We start from the raw sequence: 11,999 nt of genomic DNA, 5'->3' as shown, positions 1-11,999 counted from the left end.
CAGGGGACGGAGCCTGCAGTGAGCCTAGATCGCGCCACTGCACTCCAGCCTGGGCGACAGCGAGACTCCATCTCAGGAAAAAAAAAAAAAGCAAATGACAAAGACCCACTTTACCTGCTTTGCTTTTTTAAACCTAAGCTTAACATCACATATTTAAACAATTGTCAAGACTTACTGAGTTGACAGGATTCAGGCTCAGCTAGAAAACACCCTTAATTTATATTAAACCAGAAATGTATTACCATTAATGCATTAATATCTTTTACTACTACATACTGAAAAACAAAATGAATTTAGTTCTGTAGAAGATTCGCCCTGGCAATGGTGACCTCACAGCAGGCCAACACTATGTGGCTCACATTTCAGACACAATGGAAAAGCAGATCCATGCTGGTGTTAGTGCACAGTCTTGTCCTACACTAAAGAGTCAAGGCTCACCTTGGAGTACATTTAATAAAAGGGCAAAAAGCATACAGACATTTACAATAATATATATATTTTTGAGACAGAGTCTTGCCCTGTCACCTAGGCTGGAGTGCAATGGTGTGATCTTGGCTCACTGCAACCTCCACCTCCCGGGTTCAAGCAATTCTTCTGCCTCAGCCTCCCAAGTAGCCGGTATTATAGGTGCCTGCCACCACACCTGGCTACTTTTCTGTATTTTTAGTAGAGATGGAGTTTCACCATGTTGGCCAGGCTGGTTTTGAACTCCTGACCTCACTTGATCCACCCGCCTCAGCCTCCCGAAGTGCTGGGATTACAGGTGTAAGCCACTGCACCTGGCCTACAATAATTTTGAAGACAAAAAGAAAAAATGGTCCTATTATGGGTCCCAACAATAAACTCAAAAGCCTATGACAAATAGAGGTTCCGATTAGCTGTTTATAAATACTTTAGGTACTATTATTCTGAAAGGCAAGTTCCCTTGAAATCTACAAAAAAAAAGTTTCTGTTAATCCTCAGATGGTTCTTGTTATAGTTTAACATTTCTGTTAAGTGGGCGCCTTGAATTACTTGTTATCCAAGTGCAGCAGCTGCTCCTTAACACTTATTGTTAAAGACATTAACTGGCTGTCTTCTTCAACTTCTACTCTTTCTTGACCATTCTTGATAATTCTCTTTATCGTGATTTTTCTGCCATTAACCTTTTTAGTAGAAGTGTTATCGATTTGAAGTTGCCCATCCCACTACCAACATATGATGTGGAAGAAAATGAAGTGAGGCCCCCGTGACCGAGTGACCCAAATGAAGTATTAATAAATCCTATATCAAAATAAGAAAATCCACTTCTAAAAGATGGAAATCCACTGAATGTGGAGAAAAACTACCCCGACCCTTGGTTTCTGCTTCCACGGGGACCCCTTTGATTCTGAAACAAGTCCTCAAAAGAGTTCTTCAAAGAAGTCAAATGAAAATGGGTCCCTTCCACCAAAAAATTCCCTGAAGACATCATCTGGGTTACAGAATGTGAAGCCAAACTCAAAAGGACTGTCAAAATGACTTCCACCTCCTCCTCCACCATTTAATCCTTCTTTGCCATATTTGTCATAGATGTCCCGTTTTTTAGCATCTGACAACACCTCACACACCTCAGCTACTTGTTTGAATTTTCTCTCTGCTTTTTATTCTCAGGATTTTCATCTGGGTGCCACTTCAGTGCCAGTTTCTGGTGTGCCTTTTTAATATCCTCGGGTGAGGCCTCTCTCCACACTCCTAGAATTTCATAGTAATCCACCATGATTTTGTTTGTTTGTTTGAGACAGAGTCTCGTTCTGTCACCCAGGCTGGAGTGCAGTAGCACCATCTTGGCTCGCTGCAACCTCGCCTCTGGGGTTCAAGACATTCTCCTGTCTCAGCCTCCTGAGTAGCTGGGATTACAGACTTGTGTCACTATGCCCAGCTAATTTTTATATTTTTGGTAGAGACGGGGTTTCAGCACGTTGGCCAGGCTGGTCTTGAACTCCTGACCTCAGGTGTTCCACTTGGCTCGACCTCCCAAAATGCTGGGATTATAGGCATGAGCCGCTGTGCCCAGCCTAACCCATCATGCTTTAAGAGATTGCTGGAACAGGATGGAGGCGACTGACGGCAGGCGGGAGGCAGGGGCAGTGGCCGGGATCTCCTCCTGGCTCTGGCACTGCTGCGCTGGTGGTGGTGACTACTTGTGCTTTCCTCTCAAGCCTAGTTTTTTTTTTTTTTAATTTTTTTTTTATTTTTTATTTTTTAAATTTTTTAAATTTTACTTTAAGTTCTGGCATACATGTGTAGAACGTGCAAGTTTGTTACATAGGTATACATGTGCCATGGTGGTTTGCAGCACCTATCAACCTATGCTCTCCCTCCCCTTGCCCCTGACCCCCTGACAGGCCTCGGTGTGTGGTGTTCCCATTCCTGTGTCCATGTGTTCTCATTGTTCAACTCCCACTTATGAGTGAGAACACGCAGTGTTTGGTTTTCTGTTCCTGCATTAGCTTGCTGAGAATGATGGCTTCCAGCTTCATCCATGTCCCTGCAAAGGACATTAGCTCATTCTTTTTAATGGCTGCATGGTATTGCATGGTGTATATGTGCCACATTTTCTTTATCCGGTCTATTATTGATGGGTATTTGTGTTGGTTCCAAGTCTTTGCTATTGTAAATAGGGTTGCAATAAACATACATGTGCATGTGTCTTTATAGTAGAATGATTTATAATCCTTTAGGTATATACCCAGTAATCGGATTGCTGGGTCAAATGGTATTTCTGGTTCTAGATCCTTGAGGAATTGCTACACTGTCTTCCACAATTGTTGAACTAGTTTACACTCCCACCAACAGTGTAAAAGCATTCCTATTTCTCCACTGCCTCACCAGCATCTCTTGTTTCCTGACTTTTTAATGATCACCATTCTAACTGGCATGAGATGGTATCTCATTGTGGTTTTGATTTGCATTTCTCTAATGACCAGTGATGATAAGCTTCTTTTCATATGTTTGTTGGCTGCATAAATGTCTTCTTTTGAGAAGTGTCTGTTGATATCCTTCACCCACTTTTTGATGGGGTTGTTTTTTTCTTGTAAATTTGTTGAAGTTCCTTGTAGATTCTGGATATTAGATCTTTGTCAGACGGTTAGCTTGCAAAAATTTTCTCCCATTCTGTAGGTTGCCTGTTCACTCTGATGATAGTGTCTTTTGCTATGCAGAAGCTCTTTAGTTTGATTAGATTCCATTTGTCAATGTGGGCTTTTGTCGCCATTGCTTTTGGTGTTTTCGTCATGAAGTCTTTGCACAGGCCTATGTCCTGAATGATATTGCCTAGGTTTTCTTCTAGGGTTTTTATGCTTTTGAGTTTTACATTTAAGTCTTTAATCCATCTTGAGTTAATTTTTGTATAAGGTGTAAGGAAGGGATCCAGTTTCAGTTTTCTGCATATGGCTAGCCAGTCTTCCCAGCATCATTTATTAAACAGGGAGTCCTTTCCCCATTGCTCCTTTCCCCATTGCTTTTTTTGTCAGGTTTGTCAAAGATCAGATGATTGTAGATGTGTGGTGTTATTTCTGAGGTCTCTGTTCTGTTCCGTTGGTCTATGTATCTGTTTTGGTACCAGTACCATGCTGTTTTGGTTACTGTAGCCTTGTAGTATAGTTTGAAGTCAGGTAGCGTGATGGCTCCAGCTTTGTTCTTTTTGCTTATGATTGTCTTGGCTATTCAGGCTCTTTTTTGGTTCCATATGAAATTTAAAGTAGTTTTTTCCAATTCTGTGAAGAAAGTCACTGGTAGCTTGATGGGAATAGCATTGAATCTATAAATTACTTTGGGCAGTATGGCCATTTTCACGATATTGATTCTTCCTATCAATGAGCATGGAATGTTTTTCCATTTGTTTGTGTCCTCTCTGATTTCCCTGAGCAGTGGTTTGTAGTTCTTGAGGAGGTCCTTCATGTCCCTTGTAAATCGTATTCCCACGTATTTTATTGTCTTTGTAGCAATTGTGAATGGGAGTTCACTCATGATTTGGCTCTCTGCTTGTCTATCATTGGTGTATAGGAATGCTTGTGATTTTTGCACATTGATTTTGTATCCTCAGAGTTTGCTGAAGTTGCTTATCAGTGTAAAGAATTTTTGGGCTGAGATGATGGGGTTTTCTAAATATACAATCATGTCGTCTGCAATCAGAGACAAGTTGACTTCCTTTCTTCCTATTTGAATACCCTTTATTTCTTTCTCTTGCCTGATTGCCCTGGCCAGAACTTCCAATACTATGTTTAATAGGAGTGGAGAGAGAGGGCATCCTTGTCTTGTGCCGGTTTAAAGGGAATGATTCCAGCTTTTGCCCACTCATTATGATATTGGCTATGGGTTTGTCATAAATAGCTCTTATCATCTTCTCAAGCCTAGTTTTTAAACAATTTATTACTGCTGAATCTCAGCATGTTTCACAGATATGTCTTTCATAATTCCTCTATTACACACACCCGCTGACCTTAATATACTCTTGAGTACAATTGCTATATTCTTGGTATTGTACACGTTATTTCTTACTACCAAGAAGAAGCCTCTAGTCTTTCATGACAATTTAAAGACACAAGCTAAATACCAGTCCCCATCCCTTGAGGAATTCATAGTACAGCACAGACACATGGGGTGCGAGCGAGGTGAATACATTCAAAACCAGCTCCACCACTTATGACCTAAGTGGTGCTGGGCAAGAAAAAGCATCTCTCTGACTCAGTTTCCTCAGTGTAAAATGGTGATAATAATATCTACCTCACAGCTTGTTTGGAAGATTAAGTTAAATAATGTGTGGGAAGAGCCCAATATGAATTCATTGCAGATACATTTTCTTTGTGCACTGAGATTTAGTTTCTGTCAAGTTTGTGTGTTCGTGGTTATGACACCCCTAAAGGCTATTCACAGCAGGAGATGTGGGAGCTGACACTTAAGTCATTTCTTCCCCAGTTTATGACAAGGTTACCTGGTTTCCACTCAAACACAGATAAAGGTGCTTTCTCTTTTACATGCTACACCACATCAAACTTAGTATCGTGCAAAAGAGTTTTGCTTACACAGTCATAGAAAAGGAAATTTGCATCAGTTTGCTTGAACATTTTGGTTAGCCATACTTTACTCACATTCTGAAACTCAGTCATGTAATTCAGAGGGGTTTTTCTCTTCTTAGATGATTTGCAGTATATTTATCCAGGAATAATTGCTGAGATGCAAAGATGACAATTATAAGCATTTATACAAGTAAAAGTATTAGAATTTTAGTTCTATTTTAGACTTCCAAATAGGATGCACAATGAGTTGATAAGGCAATCCGGTGGTTCTTCACAGGTTTCTAATATTTAGGGTGTTTTCTTCAAGCTGAATTGCATTTATTGCCAATTCTTCCATCTGCCATTGCAAAGAGGGTGATGTAGGGAGGAATTGTCAGGATAGCAAGAGGTTTAACTCCAGTAACAATTTATTGAAAATAACATCAAATATTTATTTCCACTGTAGTACCTACCCAATTTCAGATAATTTAGCGTACAAGATAAAACAAACACCATTAGTTGTTGCTAATCATTATTAAAAGAAAATAATGTGAGTTCTAAGAGCCTAAAAATACAAAGCTTTTTTTCTTTTCTTTTTCTTTTTTCTTTTTTTAATTTTGGAGAGTTGTATTAGCTAGGGCTCTCAATTGAAAATAGTAGAAGCCCAACTCTAAGTAGCTAAGGAAGAAAGAAGGCTGTATTATAAAGTTTCTCATGGGTCATGAGTCATGAATATGATTGAACATTATTAACAATTAGAGCAAGGGATTCTAATGCATTCAGGGTTCTCATTTCATCTCTCCTCTGTCCTTTTCTGTGGATCTGTTTATTATTCTTCTTATTCTGCGTCTATGGGCCATCTTCCTTTCATTCTGGCCACATGGAGAAAAACAAGACTGACAGCTTCTGAACTTGCCACCTAACACTCTGTCACTGGAAGGAGTCTGTCTCTTTCGCAGGCCTAATTGCACAATTCCTAGGGAAAGCCTTTGATTGGCCCAGCTTGGATCAGGTGCATACTTCACACCAATCAACTGCTGCTAGCTAATCAGAGTGATACTGAAGCAACATGTGGATAGGAGGAAAAGAGCAGGTCCTAGAAGAGGAAAACTGGCAAGACAATAGATGACCGCTGTTACGGACAGAATTGTGTCCCCCAAAATCCATATGTTGAAGCCTTAAGTCCCAATGTGACTGTATTTGGTGATAGGGCCTTAAGGGAAGTAACTAAGATTAAGTGAGGTTATAAGGACGGGGACCTAATTCGATAGGATCAATGTCCTTATACAAAGAGAATGAGACAGCAGAAATATTTCTCTCTCCTTCTCTCTGCATGAGCCTAAGGGAAGGCTATATGACATGGTAAAGAAGATGGTCATCCACAAGCCAGAAAGAGAGGTCTCACCAGACACCAACCCTGCCAGCACCTTAATCTTAAATTCTTAGCCTCCAAAACTGTGAGAAAATAAATTTCTATTGTTTAAGACAACCAGTCTGTGGTGTTTTGTTATGGCAGCCTGAGCAGACTACTACAACCACCATAGGCATGTACTCCATCCATTCTCTGAAAAAATAATTTCTGATTACGTATTACATCCATTAGGATCAATTCAAATACAAATAGCAGAATCTGCAAGAACAGTGATATTAGAACATTACTCTCAGGTAAAAGAAGTTAAGGAAAGTGATCCAAGGCAGCTCCTCAAAATCATCGGAGATGTGGGCTTTTCTGTCTTCTGCTCACCTTACTCAGCACACAACTTCTATCTTCCAGGTCACCTTATTGTCTCAGATAGGAGCTGGAGCTCTAGATGTCATGCTCGCTTCCCAGTCAGCAGGAAGGAGGAAGAGGGAGGAAAATATTCTCCATTTGTCTGTCCCCACTCTTTAATAAGACAGCTTGGAAATCCCTCTAACAGTTTCTGTGTATATCTCATTGGACAGAATTCAGTTACATGACCACACCTAGCTGCAAGGGAGGCTAGAAATGTATCTTTTCACTGAGAGAACTGCTATCATCAATGACATAGGGGTTCTGTTAGGAAGTAAGAATTTGAGAACGGAAGTTGAACGGACAATTAGCAGGCTCTGCCACAGTTACTATGAGCCAGACACTGTGGTAAATGCTGTATAAGTCCATTTTCACGCTGCTGGTAAAGACATACCCAAGACTGGGCAATTTGCAAAAAAAAGAGATTTAATGGACTTACAGTTCCATATGGCTGGGGAGGCCTCACAGTCATGGTGGAAGGCAAGGAGGGGCAAGTCACATCTTACATGGATGGGGGCCGGCAAAGAGAGAGAGCTCATGCAGGGAAAGTCCCATTTTTAAAACCATCAGATCTTGTGAGACTTATTATCATGAGAACCACATGGGAAAGACCTGCTCCATGATTCAATTACTTCCCACCAGCTTCCTCCCACAACACATGAGAATTCAAGATGAGATTTGGGTGGGGACACAGCCAAATCAATCAAATGCCAATTACAGCTTCATTCAGAAAATTAGCAGGCTAGATAAAAACAAAATTTAATAGCATTTAAAACAATAATAAATAAAATTACCCCCTGTGGATTATCTCTAGCTAACTATATCAAGTAAAATCATCTGTGATTTATAATTGATGTGACACATTATGCCAAACTTCCTACCGGCAGTTTATGATGATGATGATGATGGTGATTAAGATATTTGGCTGGGCATATTGGCTCATGCCTGTAATCCTAGCACTTTGGGAGGCCAAGGTGGGCAGATTATTTGAGCCCTGGAGTTCAAGGTCAGTCTGGACAACATGTTGAAACCCCGTCTCTACAAAAAATTAGCCAGGCCTGGTGGCATGCACCTGTAGTCCCAGCTGCTCGGGGGGTACTGAGGCAGGAGGATTACCCGAGCTTGGGAAGTGGAGGAAGTCAAGGCTGCAGTGAGCCAAGATCATGCCACTGCTCTCCAGCCTGGGCAGCAGAGTGAGACCCTATCTCAAAAAAAAAAGACATTTGATTAATATTCTCTAAGTTGATTGCACCTGTTTGCTCATTTTCTTTAACATGCTACACCCTTTGTCTGCCCCATTATCAGCCAGAGAGCTATCTAATTAGTGTGGTGGCTAAAAATATCTCCCCCCAGAGAAAGGAAGGATAGTGTTTGCCCACTGAGGTGTTATTAACTCTGCCACATGAATCTATCTGAAGACAGGGTTTCAGTCAACAGCAAAGAAGATGGTTGAAAATGACTGTCATTTCAATGACTCCAATAACTATTGGAGTGGTCCTAGAAAATAAAACAAAGCTGCATAAATGAAAATAAAAACACATAATTTTACATTATGTCGTTGCTTTCTTGTCAATTATAGAGTGGCAGTTTAGAGAAAAACAACAATGGTGATGATAAAATAATGGAGTATTGAGGAAGAGCCTCAGAAAACACATTGAGGTCTGAAAGCTCTTTGCCTTCGTGAAATACTCTTTTCTGTCTTGTGAGAAGTAGATGGAATGACTAGATTGGGCCATTATCTATTGTTCATTCATTCAGTCAACAAATATTTATTGAACACCTACTATGTGCCAGGCACTGTTCTAAGCATTAAAGGTTTATAGGGAACAGAGTAGACACAATTTCTGTCCTTCTGGATCTTACACTGTAGTGACTGACAGACAATGAACAAGATTAATGAGTAGGATGTGTAGTATGTTCAATTTTAGATGGTGGTGAGTGTTGTGAAGAAAGGCAAAGCAGAGGAGACTAGAATGCATGGGGGTGGAGGTTTGTCATTTACATGGAATGGCTGGGGAGGGCTGAATAGGAGGCAACAGGAATTCCGAGAGGTAGCGTGCTAGTGCACGATTCAGAAGGGAACAGCAGGAGCAAAGACCCTGGGGTGCTTACAAGGTTCCCAGTATCTGGAGCTGAGTGATTACAATGGAGGATCCTGGGACAGAAGAGGTAAACCAGGTGGGGCCTCCTAGGTCATTATAGTGACTCAGACTCCTGTCGTGTGTGGGATGGAAAGCCACTGACAGATTTGGAGCAGACAAGTATGGTTGTAGCAGGATCATCTGGCTATTAAGACAGACCTTTGGGAGGCTTTTGTAATAACTCAGGCAAGAGATGACTGTAGTTTGAGCTAGGCGGTTGAGTTGAGGTGGTAAGAAATGATTCAATTTCTGAATATATTTTGAAGGTAGGATGGATAGGGTTTCCTGATGGAGTAGATGTGAGGAATGAAAGAAAAAAGTCAAGGATGGCACCAAGATTTTTGGGCAACTAGAAAAATGGCAACACTATTTACTGAGATGGGACATCTGTGAGAAGAAAAAGCTTGGGTCTTAAATACCTTGATGATAGACAAATGAAGATGCTAGTAGACAGTTGAATCTGGAGTTGAGTCTTGAGTTCAAAATAGATGTTGGGTTAGCCTGTTCTTATAACATGTAGATCGTGTTTAAAGCCACAAGAATGGACAAGATCACCAAGGGAGAAACCAAGGCCTTCACTGTGGGGCCTTCAACGTTTAGGTGGCAAAGAGACTAGGAGAAACCAGAGAAGTAGACTGAGAATGAGTGGTCAGAGTAAGGGGTCAGGGGTGTGTGGTGTTCTTGGAGGAAGAAAGTGTTTCAAGGAGGAGAGAGTCAACTCAAATTTTCTCAAGCAAGGTGCACCAAGATCAGTATCCCTGTCCCAGAAAGTAGGACAAGGAGAGAACATGAAACTCCAGTGATTGTCCAACATCACATACTTGGCATATAGTAAATTTGAAATTCAAAAGCCCAGATTGTGGCTAGGCATGGTGGCTGACACCTATAATCCCAGCACTTTGGGAGATCAAGGAAGGAGGATTGCTTGAAGCTAGGAGGTCAAGACCAGCCTGGGCAACATAGCGAGATAACATCTCTACAAAAAACAAAAAAATTAGCCAGGCATGTTTTGTGCACCTACAGTCGTAGTTATTCAGGAGGCTGAGGCAAGAACATCACTTGAGCCCTAGAGTTCGAGGATGCAGTGAGCCATGATTGCACCACTGCACTCCAGCCTGGGTGACAGAGCAAGACCCTGCCTCTAAAACAAAACAAAACAAAACAACAACAACAAAAAAACCCAAAATCCCCTCTGATTGTTTGACCTTAATCCAAGCTCTTAAAAGGAAAAAATAAAGTTTAGTCTACCTATTTGTAATATCAGTTACATTTGTAGTTCCACATGTTTTTCTGATTTTTTTCTAACTGAAGATTTCTACTTCTTAGTAAAACAAAAGCAACAAAATGGAAAAGACAATGTAAGAGTTTTAATAAGTGCCTCAAAAATTATCATTTCATTAAAGCGATGAAGATGGGTTGAATCTATTAATATCATTTATTGTGTTTGCAAAGTGCTTCTGTTTTTTTGTTCTTTGTTTTTCTTACATTAGAATTGCTTTTCTTCATTGCTCTGGGCTTCAGCAGCCTCCCTCCTGTTCTTCAAAGAGTTCTGCATGGGCTGCCTCTATTCAATCAAATGGAATCTCCAAAGTAACACATTGAATGGGATGTGCAACGAATACTAAAAAAAGAATGAATCTGCAAATACTTAGCAGCTGGCAGTTTCTTAAAATCCTAATCTCTTCATTTGGTGAAACAGAAGTGATTTCCAATTTCAGCAACTAAGATAAAATAAATCTTCTATATTGAACCGCAAAATAAAATAAATGCTAAACTTTGTTTAAATGTAGATAAGACTGGGTGCAGTGGCTCATGCCTGTAATCTCAGCACTTTGGGAGGCTGAGGTAGGAGGATCTCTTGAGTCTAAGAGTTTGAGACCGACCTGGGCAACATGGAGAAACCCCATCCCTACAAAAAAATATATTTTAAAAATCTAGATAAGAAGAGATTTGCAATAAGTATCACAGCAACCGTTATCAAATGAATATCAAATTTTGCATGTTTACTATGAGATCCTGAACACTAAAATGAAAGATCAGGAGTATGACAGGAATTTAGGGTTGTGCTATTTAATAGTTGGACAAAAACACTTCTGCACTACCTAAGAGTGCATGCTTTTAGAGTTTTCTAGTCCTGTTTCCTCGCCTCTTTTTCACTCCACTTAGTCCACTGACATTTTCTGCCTCTCCTCTCAGGTACCTAGTATTCCTATTCTTACTGTATCAAAATTCCTCCAGTGCCTACTTCATGCTAAGCACTCTGCCAGTGCTTTCTTCTTCTTCTTTTTTTTTCTTGACACAGGATCTTGCTCTGTTGCACAGGCTGAAGTGCAGTGGCCCATCTCAGCTCACTGCAACCTCTGCCTCCCAGGCTGAAGCAGTCCTCCCACCTCAGCCTCCTGAGTAGCTGGGACTATAGGCACACACCACCACACCTGGCTAATTTTTTGTAGAGATTGGGTTTTGCCATGTTGCCCAGGCTGGTCTCAATGTACTGAGCTCAAGTGATCCACTGGCCTTGGCCTCCCACAGTGCTGGGATTACAGGCATGAGCCACTCTGACTAGCCTGCCAGTGTTTCCAAATGTTATTTAATTTAATGTTCTCAACGAATGGCCAGAGGAAGATATTAATAGGATCTTTTTTAAGGAAAAAGAAACTGAATCCTCCTGGTTAAGGGTTTGCTGGAAACCACATAGCCAGGGTCTGAGAAAGGTGGATTCTTTTTATTTATTTATTTTTGAGACAGAGTTTTGCTCTGTCGCCCAGGCTGGGGTGCAATGGTGCGATCTCGGCTCACTGCAACCTCCGCCTCGCCGGTTCAAATGATTCTCCTGCCTCATCCTCCCTAGTAGCTGGGATTACAGGCGTGTGCCACCATGCCCAACTAATTTTTTGTATTTTTAGTAGAGACAGGGTTTCACCATGTTGGCCAGACTACTCTCAAACTCCTCACCTCAGGTGATCTGCCCGCCTCAGCCCCGCAAAGTACTGGGATTACAGGTGTGAGCTACCGCATCCAGCCAGAAAGGTAGATTCTAATCTGATCTGTGTCTTCTAATGCCCACTG

The 11,999-nt window shown here is 41.0% G+C and overlaps 1 pseudogene; it reads right to left on the bottom strand.

Moving 5' to 3' along the window:
• Positions 1-864: 864 nt before the first annotated feature.
• On the bottom strand, positions 865-1,738 carry DNAJB6P4 (DNAJB6 pseudogene 4; annotated as a pseudogene).

Source organism: Homo sapiens, chromosome 1, assembly GCF_000001405.40.
Source record: "Homo sapiens chromosome 1, GRCh38.p14 Primary Assembly".
Classification (NCBI taxonomy): Eukaryota; Metazoa; Chordata; class Mammalia; order Primates; family Hominidae; genus Homo; species Homo sapiens.
Note: the sequence above shows the minus strand (reverse complement) of the source record. Positions and strands in the feature narration are given on the sequence as shown.